The sequence below is a fragment of the Homo sapiens genome, chromosome 9 (assembly GCF_000001405.40).
Source record: "Homo sapiens chromosome 9, GRCh38.p14 Primary Assembly".
Lineage (NCBI taxonomy): Eukaryota > Metazoa > Chordata > Mammalia > Primates > Hominidae > Homo > Homo sapiens.
In genome coordinates this window covers 83,541,433-83,568,574 of record NC_000009.12, presented here as the reverse complement: position 1 = coordinate 83,568,574, position 27,142 = coordinate 83,541,433, and the positions used below count along the sequence as shown (strand labels likewise).

Sequence of the window (27,142 nt, the reverse complement as noted above, 5' to 3'; positions counted from 1 at the left end):
ACACATGAGTAAGATCAGGCAGTATTTGTCTTTCTGTGCCTGGCATATTTCACTCAGCATAATATCTTCCAGATTCATCCATGTTGTTGCAAATGACAAGATTTCTCTCTTTTTAAAGGCAAAGTGGTACTTGATATGTGTTTTAAAAATATCTACAATTTTAATATAGATATTATTTTGATCTCCCCAATTAATTTAATACATAATTTGTCATATTTCTACATACTCCTTGAAATGGTTTGTCTGTGTCCCCACCTAAATCTCTACTTGAATTGTATCTCCCAGAATTCCCACGTGTTGTGGGAGAGACCCAGGGGGAGGTAATTGAATCCTGGGTGCCAATCTTTCCCCTGCTGTTCTCGTGATAGTGAATAAGTCTCATGAGATCTGGTGGGTTTATCAGGGGTTTCTGCTTTTGCTTCATCCCCATTTTCACTTGCTGCTGCCATGTAAGAAATGCCTTTCATCTCCTACCATGATTCTGAGGCCTCCCTAGCCATGTGGAACTGTAAGTCCAATTAAATCTCTTATTCTTCTCAGTCTCAGATATGTCTTTATCAGCAGCGTGAATTTGGACTAATACAGTGAATTGGTACCAGTAGAGTGGGGCATTACTGAAAAGATACCTGAAAATGTGGAAGTGACTTTGGAACTGGGTAACAGGCAGAGGCTGAAACAGTTTGGAGGGCTCAGAAGAAGACAGGAAAATGTGGGAAAGTTTGGAACCTCCTAGAGATTTGTTGAATGGCTTTGACAAAAATGCTGATAGTGATATGAACAATAAGGTCCAGGCTGAGGTGGTCTCATATAGAGATGAGGAACTTGTTGGGAATTGGAGCAAAAGTGACTCTTGTTATGTTTTAGCAAAGAGGCTGGCTGCATTTTGCCCCTGCCCTAGAGATTTTGGGACTTTGATCTTGAGAGAGATGATTTAGGGTATCTGGCAGAAGAAATTTCTAAGCAACAAAGCATTCAAAAGGTGACTTGGGTGCTGTTAAAAGCATACCATTTTAAAAGAGAAACAGAGCATAAAAGTTGGAAAATTTGTAGCCCGATGATGCCGTAGAAAAGAAAAACCCATTTTTTGAGGAGAAATTCAAACCAGTTGCAGAAATTTGCATAAGTAGCAAGCAGCCTAATGTTAATCCCCAAGACCATGGGGAAAATGTCTTTGGGCCATGTCAGAGAACTTCACGGCAGTCCCTCCCAGCACAGGCCCAGAGGCCTAGGAGGAAAAAGTGGTTTTGTAGGCCAGGCCCAGAGTCCCAGCCTAGGGACTTGGTGCAGCCTAGGGACTTGGTGCCCTGTGTCCCAGCTGCTCCAGCTGTGGCTGAAAGGGGCCAACATTTAGCTCTGACCGTGGCTTCAGAGGGTGGAAGCCCCAAGCCTTGGCAGCTTCCACGTGGTGTTGAGCCTGTGGGTGCACAGAAGTCAGGAACTGAGGTTTGGGAACCTCTGCCTAGATTTCAGAAGATGTATGGAAATGTCTGGATGCCCAGGCAAAAGTTTGCTGCAGGGGCAGGGCCCTCATGGAGAACCTCTGCTAGGGCAGTGTGGAAGGGGAATGTGGGGTTGGAGCCCTCACACAGAGTCCCTACTGGGGCACTGCCTAGTGGAACTGTGAAAAGAGGGCCACCGTCCTCCAGACCCCAGAATGGTAGATCCACCAACAGCTTGCACTGTGTGCCTGGAAAAGCCTCAGACACTCAATGCCAGCCCGTGAGAGCAGCCGGGTGGGAGGCTGTACCCTGCAAAGCCACAGGGGCGGAGCTGCCCAAGACCATGGGAACCCACTTCTTGCATCAGTGTGACCTGTATTTGAGACCTGGAGTCAAAGGAGATCATTTCGGAGCTTTAAAATTTGACCACCCCACTGGATTTTGGACTTGCTTGGGCCCTGTAGCCCTTTTGTTTTGGCCAATTTCTCTTATTTGGAATGGCTGTATTTACCCAATACTGTACCCCCATTGTATCTAGGAAGTAACTATGTTGCTTTTGATTTTACAGGCTCATAGGTGGAAGGGTCTTACTTTGTCTCAGATGAGACTTTGGACTATGGACTTCTGGGTTAATGCTGAAATGAGTTAAGACTTTGGGGGACTGTTGGGAAGGCATGACTGGTTTTGAAATATGAGGACATGAGATTTGCAGGGGCCAGGGGTGGAATGATATGGTGTGGCTGTGTCCCCACTCAAATCTCAACTTGAATTTTATCTCCCAGAATTCCCACATGTTGTGGGAGGGACCCAGGAGAAGGTAATTGAACCATGGGCATTGGTCTTTCCCATGCTATTCTCCTGAGAGTGGGGAAGTCTCACAAGATCTGATGGTTTTATCAGGGGTTTCTGCTTTTGTTTCTTCCTCATTTTCTCTTGCTGCCACCATGTAAGAAGGGCCTTTCACCTCCTGCCATGATTCTGAGGCCTCCCCAGCCATGTGGAACTATAAGACCAATTAAACTTCTTTTTCTTCTCAGTCTCGGGTATGTCTCTATCAGCAGCATGAAAACAGATTAATACACTCCGCATAATAATGTCAGTAACTGTGCAAGATTCCCCAAGATTAACATATGGCCATTTCAATTTTTTTGGCCTTTTTATTGTAAATCATACTTTAGCACCCAACTTAATAGACTCTCCTCCTTTCCCAGATGGGAGTATGCAGAGCCAGCTCTAAGTGTTAACAGAATAACTAGTGGCTTATTTGATGCAAAAGGAGACCAATTTCCTAACTCCTTTCTCAAATTTCTCCACTGGCCTGCCGTATTGCCTAAAATTCCCGTAATTGGAAAATTCAGGTTAAGACTTAAACTTCAGCTGAATCCATATTATTATTTTTATTTGGAAGGACAACACATAAGTAATTATCATCCATTAATTCTCTATTACTAATCAGTGTATTTGATTGACTTCTCAGTCACCAGGCAGACATTGAAGAAATGGGACTGGGACAGTCAGATTTTGACAGGGCGCTACGGGCAGTATCTTTGCAGGTGTAAATGTGTCTCAGGAGAGGGAACCCTGGGTGACTGGGTCCATCTGAGTAGCCCAAGATTCATGGCTAACAATGAGGCTCTAAGAAGAAGAGTCTTGTTCTGAGGGTGGATGCCCCACCCTTGAAATTGGCTTCCTTATGTTTCAGCTCTGGATAAACAACTTCCTCCAGATCCCGTCATTCTTCACAGTCTTATTCTGAAACTATAGCATGCGCCTTTAGTAAACCAAAGTGGCATCCACATCAATAGAAACTCTCTGACCTTAAGTCTTACGTGCTTGAGATGACCTGGTTTGGCAGGGTCCAGAGAACACTTTAAGGACAGGAGTGTCTCCCTATGTGATTGGCTCAGTGGACTCTGCCCCTTACTTCCAGATCAAAAATAGCATCAGTGGTCTCTGGAATACTTCAGCGAATAATGAAGTAAGGGAGGCAACTGGAACAATTGTGTACCTGGTAAAATCTCATTATTATTCCCAGGAAATGGGCTCTCTGGATTAATGAGTCCCCACAGTGTTTTCATGGGAAAAATTAAATTAAATATCACTGGCGTTGACAGCCTGACTGCCAGTTAGCTCCCACCAGGCAGCCAAAAAGCATTAAATAGAATGTGTTTCTGACATCTGCTGCCTCTGCCTTTTGAGGTGATTATTTTTGAACTTTTGCCTGCTCAGTGGCCCCAAGTTGGTCAGCCTATGCCATCTTATGGCCTCCTGGGGTTAAAAAGCAAATGGTGGGCTCTGCATGTTTCCTGGGATGCACGTCGTACAGGTTCCTCACCTCCTGCCTTGGCAAGAGAAGCAGAGGTTCTTTAAGAAACACTTGTATTTTGTGCCAGCAATCAGGGATATCTTATGACTGAAGGGCTAGCTCTTGAGTATGGACAATGGACATGTGGGCATATGTCTCCCTCTACAAACCAATATCTGGCAATTCAACATGGACCACATCACAACAAGATTTGGATCATTGAAGCAGACCAGAGATACTCTTTCCCTAAGATATCAGAATAACGGACTCAGTTTTTTGATTTGCTTTATTTAGGAAAACATGCACATATTGTTCTCAGTTGGGCTTTCCATATTCAGGTGTCAGGTTGAGACAGTGTGGTTGTAATCAGAATTTAATATTCACGTAAATATGCAAACAACAAGGAGAGATTGAGGCTGTTGGCCTTGACATTGGTGACTTCCCTAGAGCTTGGCATATATTAGGGACTTAGAAAATTCTCCTCCCTCTCTTTCCCCTTCTTCCTAGTTAGGTGGACTACAATTGGAGAGGAATGCTTAGGCAGTAAGTGGAGATAGTTGGAGGTGTATACAGCAGTGGGGATTATTATTATTATTATTATTATTTTAAATTGGCTGAATTGCCAATATTCTCAGAAAGTCAGTCAACAAACTTTTCCCAATGGTCTCCACTTTGATATGGCCACTATACTTACCAGATGCTTGAGGATTGGCCTAGAGAGAGGCCAGCCTCTGGGACTCCTGGAGGGAGAAGATGGGGTTGAAATCTGAACATTCCTTTAAATATCATGGCAACAAACTTTACACTGATACAGATGAAGGAAGGGCCCATGGTGATGAGGTGGGCACACTGACTTGGCACTGTAAGGTAAGAATACTGCCAGGAGACGAATTTTAAGGGAACATGTCTGAATTTATACAAGCAAATCATTTGAAGTCACCTTCTAAAGACATATTCTTATGCCTGTAAAGTAATGCAGGTGAGAGTACTCTGCAAATCCCCAGGCATCTTGTGGTAGGATAATGTTTTGAGGTATTGACCAGTCTTCCCCAGCCCCATCATTATTTTTTTCCTCTTTAGTAGAAAGCAGCAGAAAGACATCTTCTTCCTGGCTTTAGATTTCAAAAGCATGTCCTACGTGAGCTGGAGAGGACTCAAGGAGTAGTTAAAATGTTTGAGAGGGCGAGGAGGGATTCCTGCTCTTAGATTAGCTGGAGGAGGGAGTGGGAGGTGTTAAGAGAACAGATGGTAATGGAACCAGAGGAAGGATGGTTGCCTGTGAGGGCCAATTGGAGGGCACTGTGGGCTGGATCTGAGCACCCACAAGCCAGCTGGGAGCCCAGCTAGCATCCACACACTCCAGAGAGCATCATTTATCATTGGAGCCCAGGGACTAGGCTAACCCAGCTTTTTGTTGGGGTCTAGTCAAGCCCTCACTTCCATTGCCACCAACCCTTTACTCAGAGGCTGCTTAGCAGGGCTGTCACACTGGGAGAACAGTCCCCCACTCTGCACTCACCCAGGACACCTGCATGCCTGAAGGAAGTGGTGTGGAGTCTTAGACACGCAGTAGGTGAGGGTGGAGTGAAGGGAAAGTCCCCAGACATATCCTGGGAGGTGTAGGGGTAGGGGGCTGAAAGAAAACAACTTGGGAAGCCCCTGAACTGGGAAGGTGCTTAATTCTCCTTCTGTCATAAAAGACTCTATCCTAGATGCCAGAGGACCTGGCTTTTAATTGCAGCTCTAAGTCATTGTGTAATTTTGGGCATAATACTGCGTATCTTTGCGTCTCAGTTTCCACATTGCATTCATTCATTCGGCCTCTCATTCTTTTTTTTTTTTTTCATTTAATCACTATTACTTACTTTTCAGCTCTTCTCTCATTCAATAACATTTATTGAACACCATTTATTGGTGAAACTCTGTGCTGGGGGGGGGGCATTGGCCATACAACCAGACATGGTTTCTGTCCTCAAGGAACTTAGAATCCAGAGCTCCGAAATGAAAGGATCTAAGCCTTTGACTTTTAAGTTTCTGCCAATTCTGACATTCCATAATTCTATTAGTATTGCAAGTTTAACATTGATATCTTGTCATAAAAAAGGGTAAAACCCTTCTTTCACAGAGCCTGTGGCTCGGTGACAGCAAATTCTTGCCCTGAGAGATTGGCTTCAATATCTGGAAATGGCTAAAGGTTATTTGGAGCCACGTGTGGTGAACAGGACAGCTAAGGTGTAGAACAGAACTAAGTCCCAGGTGGCCCGGCCGAGAAACGTATGTTCCTGCATTTATTTCTGGTTGAAGTCACCTTGGGCATAGCTTTTGAATGACCTGTGGTAGTCTGCCTAGGAGTTCCATTTTTGTTAAGCTTTCAGATCATCTCCCAGTGGTAAGCTTGCTGACTGCATGTTCAAGGGAGAGTCCTTCCAGCTGCTATAGCCACCTTGGTCAGTTGGGGTTTGTAGTCAGCTTCTCGCATCTCCATCTTTGCACAGTTAGTGCGATTTCACTTTCCCTCTCCCTTACCTTCTTTCAAAGATTGGCAACAAATTTCAAGTAGTCAAGGATACCGCGTCTAAGGAACTACTTGTTATAAACAATCTAATCCCAATTTGTGCGAGATCTTCTATCTTCTGGGTGAAGGAACCTAACTAAGTTGTCATTCTTCCATTTTTACTCCCTAAATATCCCGCTAGCTCGTTCTGTGAGTGTTCACTTTCCTATCTCATACCCTCCCAAGACCAGGAGCAATTTGATCCCATCCACTCATTATTCCTTTATTCTCCAAATATACAATAGAATAAATTATATACCCTGTACCAGGCATTGTGCTGGGCTGGATGATGCATAAGATATGTTCCCTGCCTCATGGAGCTTCTGGCACTGGAGGAGGTATGGACACATACACAGTGAATTGTGGTGCAGCTTAGAGAGTGCAGATAGAGAAGTATCTAGGAGATGTGTGGTGGCATAGAGGAACAGAGGGCAGGCTGGGCTCTTCCTTGTGGCAGACTCTGTTCTTGTTTGCAAATATACATGCTCTTCTCTATTTCCCTACCCTATTCATGTCAGGGTTTTCCATGAGACTTTCCTTGGCTTATTAAGTGATGTGAATCATTTTGAGTCAGCAGCTTTAAAAGCCAGCATATGGTTTGCCATATTCTTTCATTTTGCCCTTTGCCATGATGACTAGCAAGTATTCCAGGTTGTTCTGTCAGCCTGGTTCCTGAATGGAAGCTGACATGTGATCATCATGTAGAATAAGCAATAAATAAATTGTTTAGGATTTGCAGATTTCAGGGCTATTTAGGATTTATGGAAATTTAAGGGCTATTTGTTACTGCAGCATACCTAGTAACTTCTGACCAATACACTTTCATTTGTCTTTATACCCCAGTGTCTGGTGCATAGCAGCCGCCCTGTAAATGATTGTTGAATGAAGAGCTGAAGGGATTAGATCAGCTTGAATGAGAGAGAGAGGATGAGGAAGGGAGGCTCAGTGGTGTCTGGAAAGCCTTATGTAAAAAAAATTCAGCAAGAGCTTGGCCATCACACATGTTAGAAGCTTTTAAAGCTGAATTTGACAGGAAAGGCTCACAGTGCTTCTGTCTTTCCTTATATCTTCTGTTTGTTTGTTATGTCACCAGAACCTGACTAGCAGAAAAGAAGTAACATTAAAAAGATATGGTGTAGCTCACAAAATCACTGGGCAGGGGGAGTCATTGCCAGAAAAGCAAACTTGGGGTTAAATTTCCAAGAATAATACCATGGAACTTCTCAGAGAAGGAAGTGTTTCCTAACTTCATTCTTAAGGATAAAAATAAGTGGCTGTAAGAGACATTCAAAATATAGTGGCTCAAAGAATATAGAAACTTACTTTTCTTTCATCTCAGTTCTAAGGTGAGCAGTTAGGTCTGCAGTCATCTAGGGAGCAAGAATCTTTCAAAGTCATTGTTCTATCATCCCTAAGGGCATTGTCATCATATAGGTTATCAAAGCTGGGTGGCTTCCATATCTTGGTCCTAGCCAATGGGAAGACAGAAGAGGCACATTAATGGTCTTGCCTGGATCTGAAAGTGACATGTAACACTTCTGCTTATATTTCATTGGTAAGAAGTTAGTCACATGTCAACACCTAACTGTGAGGCACATGTAGTCTGATAAGGCAGCCATGTATCCAACAACAGCTTAATTGGTGTGAGTGTAATTCAGCTGTCATTGCCCTAATGCTGTGTAACAAACCACTTACAAACCTGGAGGCTTTTAAACAACACGCATTTATTCTCACTCTCACAAATGTGCACATTGGCTGTTGTTCAGCTGATCTAACCTAAGCTGAACTGGAAGGCTCCGATTAAGGCTACAGGTTGGTTGGGCATGATGCCAGGGTGTTAGTTTGGCTCCATGTACATTTGTTCTGGGGCCCCGGCTGAAAGGGCAGTGTCTCTTTGGGGCATGTTCTTCTTATAATAGAAGTGCACGAGAATGAGCAGAGATGCTTGATGCCTCTGGAGACTCAGCCCAGAAAGTGACAGCACACTGTCACTTTCACTTAAATTCCGGTGGCCAAAGCAAGTCACATTACCAAGTCCAACATCAACAGGGCAGGGAAGATACGCTGCCTGTTCTACTGGGAGATGCTGCAAACTCGCACTGCCAAGGTATGGATGTGTAATTTTAATACAGCTAGAGAATGAATAATCCAGAACCATAATTCAATTCACATTTTATGAATGAAGAGGATAATGTATTTTGGTGGACAGCTAGAAATCTCTGCCACATCCAACCTTTTCATTTCTTGTCATTTATAGAATGTGTAAAGCACACGGGGATGCATTGGAAGGAATTTGTGGCCATCAGCATGGGACTTAGTGATAAAACTCTGTATATACTTATAATAAGATTATAATAAGATAGATAAAATATAAGATATTAGGAAATAAATATTGAACAAGTATTAAACTTCTAAATAAAATATTTTTAATTTTTAATGAGAAACAATTTCACTTCTATGATCTGAATTATTTTATTGAGGTATAATTTATATATAGAAATATCATTTAAAGTGTATAATTTTATGACTTTTGACAAATTTATGTATAACTTCTTTTAGATATCAAGATTTATACTTGAAATGGCTACTTTCAAGTCCTGCGGAAGTTTGTCACGTATAGTGATAGATTTTAAATGATAGGTTGAAACATATGGAACTGCCAATATTAGGGCACCCTTCACCTAGAAAATGGCAATTACATATGGGTCAACTTAACACAATTACATTTTGTCTAGTCAAGTGCAGGCATACATTGGAGATATTGTGGGTTTGGTTCCAGACCACCACAATAAAGCAAATATTGCAATAAGGCAAGCTGCACACATTTTTTGATTTCCCAGTGCATATGAAAGTTATGTTTACAGAATACTGTAGTCTATTAAATGTACAATAACATTATGTTTAAAAAACAATGTACATACCTTAATTGAAAATACTTCATTGCTAAAAAATGCTAATGATTATTTGAGCCTTCAGTGAGTCATAATCTTTTTGCTGGTGGTTGCTACAGCTTGGGGTGGCTGTGGCAATTTCTTAAAATAAGACAACTATAAAGTTTGCCGCATCAATGGACTCTTCCTTTCTTGATAGATTTCTCTGTAGTACTTGATGCTGTTTGATAGCCTTTAATCCACAATAGAATGTCTTTCAAAACTGGAGTCAATCCTCTCAAAACCTGCTACTGCTTTATCAGCTAACTTTATATAACATTCTAAATTTTTTGTTGCCATTTCAACAGTGGTCACAGCATCCTCACCTGAAGTAAAGTCCATATCAAGCATCCACTTTCTTGTTGTTGTTGCTCATCTGTAAGAAGCAACTCCTCATCTAATGAAGTTTTCTCATGAGATTGTAGTAATTCAGTCAATGTCCAGGCTCCACTTCTGATTCTAGTTCTCTTGCTATTTCCTCCACACATGCAGTTACTTCCTCCACTGAAGTCTTGAACTCCTCAAAGTCATCCATGTGGATTGAAATCAACTTCTTTGAAATTCCTATTAATGTTTCTATTTTGACCTCCTCCCATGAATCACAAATATTCTTAATGGCATCTAGAATGGTGAATCCTTTCCAGAAAGTTTTCAGTTTATTATTCCAGATCCATCAGAGGAATCACTATCTATGGCAGCAATAGCCTTACAAAATGGATTTCTTAAATAATAAGACCTGAAAGTCTAAATTACTCCTTGATCCATGGGTGGCAGAATGGATGTTGTCTAAGGAGGCATGAAAACAACATTCATCTCCACATATATCTCCATTAGAGCAATAAAGTGAAGTATGCCTGTATTTACAAATAAAGTCAAAGCTTTTTTTCTTCAGCACATACAGATGTCAGCATACTAATCTTAACAATTCACTAATAAAATTGACTAATCATCACATGTGAACCATTTTCACTTTACTTCTCCAAATTTGGCATTTTGCTTTCAATCCCTAATAAAGGATTGTTAATTCACACACACAGGCGCACACATGCACATGTGCGTGCGCGCGCGCACACACACACACACACGTGCATGCGTTTTACACATTTTTAAATTCAAAAAATTTTTAATTTTCAATTTAAATGCAGATGCACAAAAATGTTAGTTAAGCTACTGTATTTAAGCTAAGACTATCCTTCAACAAATCTGCAAGGTGAGATTTGTTTGCAAAAAGTTCTTATTTTGGTGCATGTATTTTTGACAGCTCTCTTGCCTTGAATGCCAATACATTCTGATATAAAAAACAGAGTGATACTCTGATCTCATGCTTCACTGAAAACTGAAACCAGATGGACCCCAAGAGCTTGTATTTTGTTAGATTCACCATTTTAGTTTCATCATTCAATGTGCAATTTAGAGCCATAGGCAAACATTTACATATGAGAGCTTCTCTATGAATAAACAACATGTGTTACTTGAATCTCAGGGTTTCAGATAAAATCCATGTTGTATAGGGCCTTCACATCTTCCTGACATTGCAAACAAATCCTGAGTGCACAACCCCCTGCAGTGTTTCCATCATATTTCTTTTCGTTTTTCCCCCCAGATCTTCATTTCTTACCTCAAATAATTCATCTGCAATAGTTTGATTTAGCACTTTGGTTCTGGAACAAATAATTTCTCTTTGGGCCTTCTAATTAGTACTCTAAATTGATAGAGTTACTCATATCTGTACTTATACCAATCAATTGATAATCTTCTGAATCTTCTGAGTTAGTGTGATTTCTACATTATACGAAATGTCATCCATGTGTCTGCTAATCCTGTTATCTGATGGGGGACATCTTTCTCTTTCTTTTGCTTCCAGTGGTCCCAATTAGGCTGTTGACAATTTCCATGCAGGCAGATAAAAAGCACAATTCTGCATTTGTGTGGCATTTTAGCTTCAGCAATTTTTTTTCATAACTTTGTAACCAGTGCTCTGGTATTGTTGTTACCAATGTCATAAAAGAAGTTTACTTCTTATTTTGTGCATGTAGATGCATAAAAATAATTTTTTCATTTAATGTGTAGAAGTAGGGCTGAGGTGATGGTGTAGTTTGCATGGCGCCATTGCTTCATTTGATAACTGCAAATATGATGCCTTGGAAGAGAAGACTTATCAGCAGATAAATCAAAATTTGAGACAGCCCTTATAAATTACCTAATTGGTAATTCAAACTCTTTTTCTTATTGCTTTGTCTGTCTCATGAATCTGATAGCTCTTAACATTTAATTTAAAAGCTTTTCATAAATATGCATAAAAAGTAAATATTTAAATATAAAATATTCCTTGGGACTAGAGACCTTCATAGCTTCAGAATATCTTTTGGTCAATATATTTTTAAGTCATTTTCATTCTTAAGAATGTTTTAAAATAAACTATTTCAAAAATTAAAGAATAAAATATTCAGAGACAAGATAAAAATTATTGAAACTTTAATTTTTACTTAATTCAATAAGGAAAAAATCTCAAAAAGTTATACAAAATATAAATATCACAATCCTCATATATCCTAAAATATTTTGAAAAACGAATCTCTTGATGTTGTAAGGGCCTCAAATATCTCTTAATAAGTTGAATTAAGTAATGTTTATTATTATTATTTTTAGAAATACAAATAAATTCTAACAAGAATCTAAAATTGGCTAATTGAAAATTCCAAAAGCAAATTAAAAACTGAGAAACAACAATGGAGAGAATTCATAAAAAATCAGTCATTTAATAGCAAATAATATCCAGAATGAAAGGCCAAAATATCTTTTACATTAGTAAAAAATGTGAAAAGAGCAAATTAATTAGGAAAGAAAACGAAATATTTTATATTCATCTGAAAGACAAATATAATTTCTCTGACAATAACCAAATTATAGCTAAATTAACCATCAGATGAATTGGGATGATCTAATGGGCAAGCCAAAGACATGTACTATGTGTATGGCTATTGTCAAGAGCTTGCTGGCTGTAGGTCAATAATGCATGGAGTTATATGACCCAAAACAATATTTGCTGAATTCAGGAATTTCACAGAAGGTGGCCATGTAAATCATGTTCAAAATATTTCCAATTGTTATGTTTTAATAAACCATTTTTCTTTGTTTTTTTTTTCAAAAGGCTAGTGAAGCAGTGAAGAGTGGAGAGGGAACAAAGAAATCTGTAGGGGAGTGGCCAAGATGGCTGACTAGAGGTAGATAGTGTGTGTGTGGCTGTCATGGAAAGGAACAGAAGGGGCAAGTAAATACAAAACCTTCAGTGGAAACGTCCATTGGGCATTGGGTCTAATCAAGGAAACAGTTTGACCCACAGAGAATGAAGAAAAGCAAGACAAGACAACAGCTCACCTGGGAGCAACATGGAGCCAGGGGATCCTCCCTAGACCAAGAAGTGAATGACCGATCCCGGGAAACCACGCTTCTCCCACAGATCTTTGCAACCCTTGGGTTAGGAGATCTCCCTGTGAACCCACTCCATCAGGGCCTTCAGTCCTCAGTCTGACAGACAGAGCTATGTGGAGTCTTGGCAGAGCAGCTGCTCAAGCATGCCTGGAGACCCTGGAGCCTTAGATACTTGGGCTTTCCTGCAAAAGTAGCTGCAGCTCCAGCAAAGTGGGAGGTTAGATTCCTGTACCTACCCATAGGAAAGAGGCTGAATCCAGGGGGCTGAGCAGTAATAGCCTGCAGGCCCTAATTCCATGACACTTCACAAGATAAGACCCACTGGTTTGGAACTCCAGCTGGCTACCAGTAGTGGCATTGCACCTCCCTGAGAAGGATCTCCTAGGGGGAGGGGGAGGCTGCCATCTTTGCTGTTTGGGTACCTTAGCCATTCCAGCCTTGGGGCTTTGGAGAGTCTGAGCCAACCCAGGTTGAAGGGGTCCCCCAGCACAGCACAGGTGCTCTACCAAATTTGGCCAGACTGCTGCTTTAAGTGGGTGCCTGATCCCATTCCCCCTCACTGGGTAGGACCTCCCAACTGGGGCCTCCAGCCACTCCCACCCAAGCTCTCCAGCCAACAGCGATCTTAATTCCCCCTGGGACAGCACTCCCAGAGAGAGGGGTGAGCCGCCATCTTTGCTGTTTGAGTGACTTAGCCATTCCAGCCTTTGGGCTTTGGAGTGTCTGAGGTGACTGGGGGCCAAAGTGGACCCCCAGCACAGCACAGGTACTCTACCAAAACGTGGCCAGATTGTTTTTTTAAGTGGGTCCTAATCTCATTCCTCCTCACTGGATGGGACCTCTTAACTGGGGTCTGCAGCCATTTCTTATAGGTGGCTTTGGGCCAGCAAAAGGTTTGTACCTCCCTGGGACAAAGCCCCCAGAGGGAGGGACAGGCTGCCTGCTATCTTTGTCATTTTGCAGCATTCACTTGTGATACCTCGAGGTTCTAGAAAATCCCAGGTGGCTGGGGACTGGAATGGGCCCCAAACATACCACAGTAGCTCCACAGAAAAGTGACCAGACTGTGACGTGGGTGCCTGATCCCATATCTCCTCACCAGGCAGGTCCTCCAGGCCTGGGCCTCCAGCCACCTGCCACCAGAGCTACCAAGCCAGTACCAGTTCAGCAACTCCTTGGACACAGCCTCCGGAGGCAACCAAAAGCCTCTCTTCCACTGCTTCTGCAGTGGAACTGCCCTTGCCCTCAGACTAACAAAGGAGCAAAGACTTTAAGTGTCTTATCCACATCTCCATCAAGCTGCAATCGACCCAAGAAGAGGAGGCCAGTCTGTCTCCCATGGGTCCCACACACCCTCCATGGCTTGTCACCAGACAAGGAAACATTGGCTTGGGCCCACAGCACAAACCGTTCATTTTGTGCTGACTGCATTGAGCAATTGCTGACCAGCATCTCTCTGGGGTGGATCCCCAGGAGTCAAGCAAATGACCCTTGGCCACAACCACTACTAAGATCTCTTCCTCTGCTGCCTCTTAGCTGGGAAAGGAACATAAACACTGAGATCACACCAGAGCTGCAGTGAGCAGCCGATGAATGCTAAGTTGTGATTACAGCCAGCACTGAAGGTGGAGAGGAACCCACACTTTCAGAGCACTGAGAGGGAACACAGTTGCAACTGTGAGGAAACATAGGGGAGCCACACAATTAAGCAAGAGTCTACAAACTGACCGATGAGCCTAAGTGTTATTTGCTGGATCACACCCCAAAGCTTCAAAACCAAAAATACCTCACAAATATACCCCCCTATGAAACTAGAGATAAGAAGTCAGCTTCAAATAAAGCCACTACGCAAAACCTTGGCCCAGTGAAAACATTCAGAAAAGAAGTCTATTGACTGTACTTAATCTACACTGCAGTTAAAGGAACACCCACATGCCGAGATGAGAAAGAACCGATGCAAGAACTCCAGTAACTCAAATGGCCAGAATGTTGTATGTACTCCAGATGACCATACCAGTTCTCCAACAGGAGTTCTTAACCAGGCTGAACTGGTTGTAATGACAGAAATAGAACTCAGAATATGGATAGGAACAAATATCATTGAGATTCAGGAAGATGACAAAACCCAACCCAAGGAGAACAGAAATCACAATAAAGTGGTACAGGAGCTGAAGGACAAAATAGCTGGTATAAAGAGATCCTAATGGGTCTGACAGACCTGAATAACACAAAAATTTCACAATGCCATCACAAGTATTAGCAGCAGAATAAACCAAGCTGGGGAAAGAATCTCAGAACTTGAAGACTGGTTCTCTGAAATAAGACAATCAGACACAAATAAAGGGAAAAAAGAGATGAATGAACAAAACCTCAAAGAGGTATGGGATTATGTAAAGAGGCCAAATTTATGAATCATAGGCACCCCTGAAAGGGCACCTTCTTCTACACAAGAAGATCATCCCCAAGACACATAATCTTCAGATTTTCCAAGGTTGAAATGAAAGAAAGAATGTTAAAGGCAGCTAGAGAGAAAGTGTAGGTCCCCTACAAAGGGAACCCCATGAGGTTAACAGCTGATCTTTCAGCTGAAACCCTACAAGCCAGAAGAGATTGGGGATCTATATTCAACATTCTTAAAGAAAAATATCTTCAACCAAGAATTTCATATTCAGCCAAACTAAGCTTCTTATGTGAAGGAAAAATAAGATCGTTTCAGATAAGCAAATGTTGAGGGAATTCATTATCACCAGACCTGCCTTACAGGAGATCTTGAAAGGAGCACTAAATATAGAAAGGAAAAACTGCTGCTAGCTAATACAAAAACATACAGACCAGAGTAACTGTAAAGTAGCCACACTAACAAGCCAACATGACAGCCAGCTAACAGCATAGTGGCAGGATCAAATGCACACATGTCAATGCTAACCTTGAATGTAAATGGGTTAATTGTCTCTCTTAAAAACTAGAGTGACAAGCTGAATAATAATAATAATAAAAAAGCAAGATCCAATGGTATGCTGTCTTCAAGAGACCCATCTCACCCAAAATGACACTAATAGGCTCAAAATAAAGGGATGGAGGAAAATCTACGGAGCAAATGGAAAACAGAAAAAAGCAGAAGTTGCAATCCTTATTTCAGAAAAATAGTTTTCAAACTAATAAAGATAAAAAAGACAAAGAAAGGCATTACATAATGGCAAAAGGTTCAATACAACAAGAAGACCTAACTATCCTAAATATATGTGATATATATGTACCCAACACAGGAGCACCCAGATTCCTAAAGCAAGTTCATAGAAACCTACAAAGATACAGAGACTCCCGCAAAATAATAGTGGGAGACTTCAACACTCCACTGACAGTATTAGATTGAGGCAGAAAAGTAACAAAGATATTCAGGACCTAAAGTGAACATTGGACCAAATGGATCTGATAGACCTTTATAGAAGTCTTCACCCCAAAACAACAGAATGTATATTCTTCACATTGTCACATGACACATACTCTTAAATTGACCACATAATTGGACATAAAACAATCCTCAACAAATGTAAAAGGACCAAAATTATACCAAACACACTGTCAGACCACAGTACAATAAAAATAAAGATCAACACAATGAAAATTTCTCAAAACCATACAATTACGTGGAAATTAAACAACAAGCCCCTGAATGACTTTTGGGTAAATAATGAAATTAAGGCAGAAATCAAGAAGTTCTTTGAAGATAATGAGAACAAAGATATAACATACCAGAATCTGTGGGACACAGCTAAGGCAGTGTTAACAGTAAAATTCACAGCACTAAATGTCCAAAATCAAAAAATTAGAAAGATCTCAAAGTAATAACCTAACCTCACAACTGAAAGAATTGAAGAAGCAAGAACAAATCAATTTCAAAGCTAGCAGAAGACAAGAAATAACAAAAATCAGAGCTTAGCTGAAGGAAATTGAGACACGAAAAACCATTCAAAAGATCAATGAATCCAGGAGTTTTTTTTTTTGAAAAAAATCAATGAAATAGGCCACTAGCTAGACTAATTAAGAAGCGAAGAGAAGATCCAAATAAACACAATTAGAAATGACAAAGGGACTGTTACTACTGACCTCACAGAAATAAAAACAACCCTCAGAAACTACTATAAACACCTCTATGCACACAAACTAGAAAATCTAGAAGAGAAGGATAAATTCCTGGACACATACACTTTCCCAAGACTGAGCCAGGAAGAAATTGATTCCCTGAATAGACCAATAACAAGCTCCAAAATGGAATCAGTGATAATAGCCTATCAAGCAAAAAAAGCTTGGGACCTGATGGATTCACAGCTGAATTCTACTAGATGTACAAAGAAGAGGTGGTACCATTCCTACAGAAACTATTCCAAAAAATTGAGGAGGAGGGACTTCTCCCCAACTCATTCTGTGAGGCCAGTGTCATTTTGATATCAAAGCCTGGCAGAGACACAACAAAAAAAGAAAACTTCAGGCCAATATCCTTGGTGTACATTGATACAAAAATCCTCAAGAAAATACTTGCAAACCAAATCCAGCTGCACATCAAAAAGCTAATCCACCATGATCAAGTAGGCTTCATCCCCAGGATGCAAAGTTGGCTCAACATACAACAATCAATAAATGTGATTCATCACATAAACAGAACTAAAGCAAAAACCATATGATTATCTTAATAGATGCAGAAAAGGCTTTTGATAAAATTCAGCATTGCTTCATGTTAAAAACTCTCAATAAACTAAGTATTGAAAGAACATACCCCAGAAAAATAGATCCATCTATGACAAACACTCAGCCAACATTATATGGAATGGGCAAAAGCTGGAAGCATTCCCCTTGAAAACCAGCACAAGAGAAGGATGCCCTCTCTCACCACTTCTGTTCAACATAGTATTGGAAGTTCTAGCCAGAGCAATCAGGCAAGAGAAAGAAATAAAGGGTGTACAAATAGGAAGAGAGGAAGTCAAACTACCTCCTTTTGCAGACAATATGATTCTATATCTAGAAAACCCCATAGTCTTGTCCCAAAATCTCCTTCAGCTGACAAACAACTTCAGCAAAATTCCAGGATACAAAATCAATGTACAAAAATCACTAGCATTCCTATACACCACTAACAACCAAACTGAGAGCCAAATCAGAAAGACAATTACATTCACAATTCACACATGAATGCACACACACACACACACACACACACACACACACACACTACCTAGGACTACAGCTAACTAGGGAGGTGAAAGATCTCTACAATGAGAATTACAAAACACTGCTCGAAGTAATCAGAGAAGATGCAAACAAGTGGAAAAACATCCCATGTTTGTGGATAGGAAAAATCAACATCATTAAAATGGCTATACTGCCCAAAGCAATTTACAGATTTAATACTATTTCTATCAAACTACCAATGACATTCTTCACAGAACTAGAAAAATTACTTAAAAATTTATATGGAACCAAAAAAGAGCCCAAATAGCCAAGGCAATCCTAAGCAGAAAGAACAAAGGTGGGGGAATCATGTTACCTGATTTCAAAGTATACTACAAGTCTACAGTGACCAAAACAGCATAGTACAGGTATAAAAACAGGGACATAGACCAATGGAACAGAATAGAGAGCCCAGAAATAAGGCCACACATCTACGACCATCTGATCTTTGACAAAGCTGACAAAAACAATGGGGAAAAGACTTCCTATTCAATAAATGGTTCTGGGATAACTGGCTAGCCATATGCAGAAGATTGAAGCTGGACCCATTCCTTACATCATATCTAAACGTCAACTCAAGATAAAATAAAGACTTAAATGTAAAACCCAAAACTATAAAAATCCTGGAAGACAACCTAGGCAATACTATCCCGGACATAGGAATGGGCAAAGATTTAATGATGAAGATGCCAAAAGCAATTGCAACAAAAGTAAAAATTGACAAATGAGACCTAATTAAACTTTAGAGCTTCTGCACAGCAAAACAAACTATCAACAGAATAAACAGACAACTTACAGAATGGGAGAAAATATTTGCAAACTATGCATCTGACAAAGGTCTAATGTCCAGCATCTATAAGGAACTTAAACAAATTTACAAGAAAAAAAACCAACCCTATTAAAAAGTGGGCAAAAGACATGAACAGACACTTCTTGAAAGAAGACATATATGTGGCCAACAAGCATATGAAAAAAATGCTCGATATCACTGATCATTTGACAAATGCAAATCAAAAGCACAATGAGATAGCATCTCACACCAGTCAAAATGGCTATTATTAAAAAGTCAAAAAATAACTGATGCTGGCAAGGTTGCAAAGAAAAGGAAACTCTTATACGCTGTTGGTGGGAGTGTAAATTAGTTTAACCATTGTGAGAAGCAGTATAGTGATCCCTCAAAGAGCTAAAAGCTACCATTCAACACAGCAATCCTATTACTGGGTGTATACCCAGAGGAATATAAAGCATTCTACCATAAAGACACATGTACACAAATATTCGTGGCAGTACTGTTCACAATAGCAAGGACATGGAATCAACCTAAATGCCCATCAGTAACAAACTGGATAAACAAAATGTGGAACATACACACCATGGAATATTATGCAGTCATAAAAAAGAACAATATCATATATTTTACAAGAATATGGATGGAGTTGGAGGCTATCATCCTTTGCAAACTAATGCAGGAACAGAAAACCAAATACCACATTGTCTCACTTACAAGTGGGAGCTAAATGATAAGAACTTATGAACACAAAGAGGGAAACAAAAGACACTGGGGTCTTCTTGAGGGGGCAGGTTACAAGGAGGGAGAAGGGCAGAAAACACAACTCTTGGGTACTGGGTTTAGTACTTGGGCGATCTAGTAATATGTACAACAAACCCTCATGACACATGATTATCTATGTAACTTTCACATGTACCCTCAAGCTTAAAATAAAAAAAAGAAATCTGTAACAGATTGTGATCAATTAGTTGTAAATACTACTGTACTCAGACCAGACAATAGACTATTTTTTAGAGCACTTTTAGGTTTACAGAAAAATTGTGCAGAATGTACAAAGAGTTTCCAGATAGCCTACCCGTTTCCTCAGTTTCCCCTATTTTAACACCTTGCATTAGTGTGGTATGCTTGTTACAATGGATGAAAAAATATAGACACATTATTATTAACAGAAGCCTATAGTTTATATTAGGGTTCGCTATGTATGTTGCACAGTTCTATGGGTTTTGACAAATGCATAATGTTAGGTATTCACCACTGGAGTATTATACAGAATAATAGTTTCACTATTCTGAAAATGTACTCCACCTATTCATCTCACCCACTCTCCTGAACTCATGGTAATTACTAATCTTTTTACTGCTGTTTGCATAGTTTTGCCTTTCCTAGTATGTTATACAGTTGGAATAATACATTCTGTAGCCTTTTCATATTGGCTTCTTTCACTTAGTGATATGCATTTAATATTCTTCCATGTCTCTTCATGACTTGATAGCTCATTTCTTTTAATCATCGAGTATTATCCCATTGTATGGAGATACCACAGTTCATGTATCCATTCACCTATTAAAGGACATATTGGTTGCTTCTAATTTTTGGCAATCATGAATAAATCTGCTATAAATGTCTGAGTGCAGGTTTTTGTATGGACAAAAATGTTTTCAGCTCATTTGCATGAATACCTAGTTGCATAGGTGCTACATTATATGCTAAGCTTATGTTTAGTTTCATAAGAAACTACCAAACTGTCTTTCAAAGTGGCTGTACCATTTTACATTTCCACCAGTGATCAATGAGAATTCCTCTGCTCCACGTTCTCACTAGCATTTGGTATTGTCAGTGTCAGTTTTGGGTCTTATCCATCTAACTGGTGTATCACAGTATCTCATTGTTGTTTTAATTTGTAATTCTGTAATGAGATATGATGTTGAGTATTGTTTCATATACTTATTTGCCATCAGCATATCTGCTTTGGTATTGATTTCTAGTTTTATTCCACTGTAGTCTGAGAAGATATTTGATATAATTTTGATTTTTACACTTGATCTTAGCCAAAAGACTGAGAAGTGATATAATTTTGATTTTTAAAAATTTATTGTGACTTGTTTTGTTGCTTAAAGTATGGTCTATTTTGAAGAATTGTTCATGTGCAGATGAGAAAAAAATGTATGTTTGGCAGTTGTTGGGTAGAATGTTGTATAAATGTCTGTTAGGTCCATTTAATCTAGAGTCTGATTTAAGTCCAGAGTTTCTTTGTTGATTTTCTGCCTCAATAATCTGTCTAGTGATGTCATTGGATTGTTGAAGTCTCTCACTATTATTGCATTGCTGTATACTTCTTTTCTTAGGTCTAGTAATATTTGTTTTTATGAATCTGAGAATTCCATTGTTGGGGGCATATATATTTAGAATTGTTATATCTTCTTGATGAATTGATCACTTTATTTTATAATGATAGGGACAAACAGTAAAAGAAGACAACTTTAAATCAATACTTTCAGACACTTTAAATCAACAACAGTAAAAAAAGACAAAGAAGGTAATTAGATAATGATTATATAATAATTATATATAATATTATATAATCATAATGACCTTTTTTGGTTATATTATATTATATAATGACAAAGAAGGTCATTATATAATAATAATTATATGATCATTATATATAACTATATAATGATTACATAATAATAATGACCTTCTTTGTCTTTTTTTAACTGTTGATTTAAAGTGACTTAAAATATTGATTTAAAGTTGTCCTAACGTCTTGATTCTATAATAATGAACTTGTTTTATTGTTGTTGATTTAAAGTGTGTTTTATCTAATATAAGTATAGCTATCCCAGTCTGCTTTTGATTTCCATTTGCACAGAATGTCTTTTTCCATGCCTTTACCTTGAGTCTTTAAATTTATTTACCAGTTAGATGGGTTTCTTGTGAGCAACATATTGTTGGATCTTTTTTTTCAAAAATCCATTTCACCAATCTATACTCTTTTTTTTTTTTTTGAGACAGAGTCTCACTCTGTCGCTAGGCTGGAGTGCAGTGGCACAATCTTGGCTCAGTGCAACCTCCGCCTCCTGGGTTCAAGTAATTCCCATGCTTCAGCCTCCCAAGTAGCTGGGATACAGGTATGCACCACCACACCCAGCTAAATTTTGTATTTTTAGTAGAGACGGGGTTCCACCATGTTGGCCAGGAGTGGAACATTTATTTTATTTACATTCAAGGTTAATATTGATGTTTGAAGCTTTGTTCCTGTCATAATGTTAATTGTTACCTAGTTGCTTTGTAGTCTCAACTGTGTAATTGTTTTATACAACTTGTGAGTTTTATACTTTTTATGTGTTTTTATGATGAAGACATTTTGTCTCTATGTTTAGAACTTCTTTGACATTTCTTATAGAGCCAGTCTAGTGGCATCAAATTCCCTTAGTGTTTGCTTGTCTGGGAAATAGTTTATTTCTCCTTCATTTATGAAGCTTAATTTTGCAGGATATAGAATTGTTGGCTGACAGTTTTTTTGTTTTGTTTTGTTTTTTGAGACGCAGTCTTGCTCTGTCACCCGGGGTGGAGTGCAGTAGCACAATCTTGGCTCACTGCAACCTCTGCCTCCTGGGTTCAAGTGATTTTCATGCCTCAGCCTCCTATGTAACTGGGATTATAGGGGCTTACCGCCATGCCTGGCTAATTTTTGTATTTTTGGTAGAGATGGCATTTCACAATGTTGTCCAGGCTGGTCTCAAACTCCTGATCTCAAGTGATCCACCCACCTTGGCCTCTCAAACTGCTGGCATTACAGGTGTGAACCACCATGCCTGGCTTTTTTTTTTTTTTTGAAGACTGAAAATAGGACCCTTATCTCTTCTGTCTGGTAAGTTTTCTGATGAGAAGTCTGCTGTTAGTGTGATGGGATTTCCTTTACAGGTGATTAGACAGTTTTCTCTTGCTGCTATTAGGATTCTTTTTCTTCATGTTGACTTTGGACAGTCTGGTGACTATACACCTTGGTGATGTTTGTCTTGCAATATATCTCCTAGGAGTTCTCTGAGCTTCTTGTATCTGGATGTGTAAATCTCTAGCAAGAAAAGTAAAGTTTTCCTCAATTATTCCCTCAAATAGGTTTTCCAAACTTTTAAATTTTTCTTCTTCTCCCTCAGGGATACCTATGACTTACAGGTCTGGATGGTTTATAATACCATATTTCTCAAAGGCTTTGTTCGTTTAAAAAATTATTTTCTCGGCCGGGTGTGGTGGCTCACTCCTGTAATCCTAGCACTTTGGGAGGCCGAGGGGGGCAGATCACGAGGTCAGGAGATCAAGACCATCCTGGCTAACACGGTGAAACCCCATCTCTACTAAAAATACAAAAAATTAGCTGGGTGTGGTGGTGGGCGCTTGTAGTCCTAGCTACTTGAGAGGCTGAGGCAGGAGAATGGCATGAACCCAGGAGGCGGAGCTTGCAGTGAGCTGAGATCGCACCACTGCACTCCAGCCTGGGTGAAAGAGCAAGACTCCATCTCAAAAAAAAAAAAAAAAAAACAAAAAAAAACAACACTTTTCTCTGTATTTTTGTCAGATTGGGTTACTTCCAAAGACCTGTCATTGAGCTCTGAAATTCTTTCTTCCTCTTGGTCTAATCTATTGTTAAAGCTTTCAACTGTATTTTGTAATTGCTTCAATGACTGTTTCATTTCCAGATGTTCTTTTATTTTTTAAATCTTTTTCCTTAGTAAATTTTTCATTCATACCTTGAATTGTTTTCTGATTTCCTTGTGTTGTTTTTCAACTTTCTCTTGGATCTCATTGAGCTTCCTTACAATCTATATTTTTAATTCTTTATCTGGTGTTTTGGAATTTTCATTTTGGTTAGGATCCATTGTTAGATATTTAGTGTGATCCTTTGAGGTTATCATAACACACTCTTTTTTTCATGCTGCTGGAATTGTTGTGTTGGTCCTTTCTTATTCTGAGGTGTCACTTCTTATTTTTGAATTTACTTTTGTTTGGACAAGACTTTTTATTTCTTCTTTGAGGATGACTGTAATGTATGTTGAATAGGATTGTTTGGCTTTGCTTCTTGGTGCTTTCAGGGGGCCAAGGCTCTGTATGAATTCCTTGGTTATAGATAACGTTAGTATGGTTGTTTTCTCAAATGCTGGTTGTAGTAGTGGTGTACTGGGCATGTGAGTAGGCTCTCAGTCTCCTGTAAAGACGGAGATAGAAGTCTTCAGAAACTTATCTCGGTCCCTAGTGCTGTACACTGAGTCAGCCAAATTTGTATTAGGTTGTGCAGTTTGACTTCCAGACCAGTAGGTGGCACTTGAAGGTAAGAGCTTCTGTGGCAGACGCAGATGGGTATATACTTGATCTTTTTTTTCAGCTGGGAGAAGCTCTGTGTTGTCACAGGCAATTATCTGGCCTGTGGAATACACCATTCTCTGAGTTTCCTGCTCAGCCCTGGGTTGGGGAGTGGCCAAAGCTGAGTCAAGCTGGACTGCCAGGCTTGTTCTTGGATAACCCAATGCCAAGCACAAGCACAAGCCCTGATGGGGTGCTTAGGGGAGCTTCTGGTGAAATGCACAAAGGTCTCCTCAGGGGGTCAGGGGGCTGCACCAGCTCCATGGTGCAGAAACGCAGTCTTCTTCCCTATCATGCCTCTGTCCCAGGGCTCATGACTCAGTTCGACAGACACTTCAATGTAGCTGAGAGACATGGACAATGCCTTTCCTGTGGCTCTCTGCTGAAATGGCTTTGGTGTGGAGCCTCTTCCCTCAGCCCAAAATAGACAGCTTTATGGCTCACCTGTTCTTGCTGCAGGAATGCTGCCACTGTCTGTACAGAGGTGGAGGGGCCCTGTCTTTTGTACAATCTAGGGCCCAGTGGGGACATTGCCAGTAAGGATGCAGTCATCCTTAATAGCCCTGGAATGGCTGTCTACAGGTATGCTTAAGCCAAACCCTGGCGGCAGCAGCTATGCGGGGAGTAGGAGGCTTCATCTCCATTACCAGGCCCAAGCACTGGGGCCACCTGGCTGCTATGGCAGAACCACACTCTTCACCCACAGAGCCAAGCACAGTGCCCATGTCGCTGTTGAAAGGAGTGCAGTCACTTTCAGCACAGAAGTGGGGAGCTCTCAGGAATAGGAGAGCACACTCTATGGTTTCTTTTGTCCTAACAGGTGTTCCCTTGGCATGCTGCACTCTGCCTTTTCCTTGGAACAGCATGCCCTGAGGGTCAGACCCTCAGCTCTCCTGGGTCCAGCTGGCCCCATGTGGGTGCCACAATCTCAGTGGGTGCTGAGGGATGTCTGCAGGGGATTTGGTGATGTGGAGACACAAGAACTGAGATTCCCTGGGCAGGATAGAGTCCCAAAATGGGTGCACACCCAGTGTGGTGCCCGCTACCATAGCTCAAATTTGGGGGTTGCTGACAGCCCAGTGCAGTGCCCTCAAGAAATTCCCAAATTGCCGCCCACACCGATGCATAAGCTTGTGAGGGCAGAGGAGCTCTTCAACAGTTTGGAAACTAGCAATCTGTCACAGGGGTGAGGGCAACCCAAAACATCCCCACTTACCCTTTCCATGGGACCCCAAGTCCTTCAGGATTCAATTTCTGCCAAATTCTTGCCTCCTCCTTTTTTCTGTGCCCTAGCTTCTGCTTGTGAATTTTCCAATAGGCCTTCACACTCGTCTCTTAATCTTTTGAGTTATGATTTTTCACCTCTAACTTTGGTTCTTCTTTTTTGGGGAGATTGGGTGATCAGTGTCTCCAGTCAGCCATCTTGAAGCTGCCCTAAAAGTTTTACATTTTAACTGAGTCCAACTTATGCTTTTGATGTGTTGATGTTTGTTGATTTTTATCACCAAACTGAAGATTACCTAAATTTTCCCTCATGTTATCTCCTAGAAGTTTTATTGTTTACATGTGAGTCAATGATTTATTTTGACTTAAAATTTGTGAACAGTGTGTGGTCTATGTCTATACTCATTTTTTTGCATGTGAATGTCTAGTTTTTCCAGCACCATTTGTCAAAAAGATTATCCTTTCTCCATTGGACTGACTTTGCTTCTTTGTCAAATATCAATTGACTGTATTTGTGTGGGTTTCTTTCTGGTCCCTCTATTTTGTTCCACTGATCAATTTGTTTATTCTTTTGCCAGTACCATACTGCCTTGATCACTTTGGTTTTATATTAAGTCTTAAAGTCAGGTAATATCAGTCATCTGAGTTTGTTTTTCTTCAGTATTGTGTTAGCTACTCTGGGTTTTTGCCTTTCCATATAAACTTTAAAAAAAGTTTGCTGATATCCACAAAGTAACTAGCTCAGGTTTTGACTTGGGTTGCACTTAACCTATAGATCAATTTGGGAAGACCTGAAATCTTAACAGTATTGAGTCTTCCTATCCATGAACATGGAATAGCTCTCCATTTATTTAGTTCTTTGATTTCTTTCACCAGAGTCTTGTAGTTTTCCTCATAAAGATCTTGTGCATATTTTGTTAGATTTATACCTAAATATTTCTTTTTAAGTTATCAATTTTAATGGCTGTAAAAGTGCTTAAAATGAAAAAATTCAAGATGCAATATTTACAACCATCAATCTTTTGTGGGCAGGCCACCTGTTATCTATTTGTGGCTTACCAAAGTGTTATAACCCATTGGTTAGGCATATTTTTTGGTAAAGAATATCAGTTACTATCACTGAGCGTGAGACACTAATTAATCTCACCCATTGCCACTTCTTTAGTAAGAACTGGACTTGCAGCCACTGCTATGGCTGACATTCTAATGCCTCAAGTGGAGCCACCTTTCCTGTACTCAAATGTCCTCTGTTTGTTGCCTGTCATCCCAGCTACTTGGGAGGCTCAAGCAGGAGGATTGACTGGGGCCAGAAGTTCGAGACCAGCCTGAGCAACATAGTGGGACCCAATCGGTAAAAAATAATAATAATAATAAAAAATAAAAAAATGTTTCTGGTTGTCTTTGGGGGACAGGTTCAGATTTGGGAATATTTGTAGGGGGATTTTAGCCTGGCCTTTGTTCACCTGGTGTAGAAATCTTGTTTGTCCTATAGATCAAATTGAGTCCTAGTTGGATGCTTGGCCACCAGCAAAATCCCTATGAGTCACACCATTCTGAAGTCTACTTGGGTACCACTGCTTATGATTGTACCAAGCCCTCCCTGGCACTGAGGGTTAAGTCATGCACCACTATTTGTCTTCTGCCAGCCCAGGCTCTCATCCTTCCCATTTAAGTCAGGGAGCTCCTTTTGACTGCAGTGTCTTTCACAACCATCTCTTGCTACAAAGAACAGCCACTTTGGTGCTTTTCAAAGATGGCAGTCCTTCCTTTGCCAATGATTCTTTGAAAATCTTGGTGGATGCCCCCTCAGGGGACACAGTTAAAGAGAGGTAAGCTGGCCACATGTGGAAATACACTGCAATATTTCCATCTCCTTGATTC

The 27,142-nt window shown here is 40.2% G+C and overlaps 1 protein-coding gene across 3 annotated transcripts in view; it reads left to right on the top strand.

Annotated features, from left to right (window-relative positions):
- FRMD3 (FERM domain containing 3) overlaps window positions 1–27,142 on the top strand; it is a 342,803-nt gene that overhangs the window by 17,220 nt on the left and 298,441 nt on the right. The window contains exon 1 of one of the 3 annotated variants that reach the window (XM_017014588.2): window positions 8,367–8,405. The exons of the other annotated variants lie outside the window; for them this stretch is intronic. Coding sequence (XP_016870077.1) covers window positions 8,382–8,405 — 24 coding nt within the window. The 5' untranslated portion in view covers window positions 8,367–8,381. Of the gene's footprint in view, window positions 1–8,366; window positions 8,406–27,142 lie in introns of those variants that run through there. 3 annotated transcript variants of the gene reach the window in all.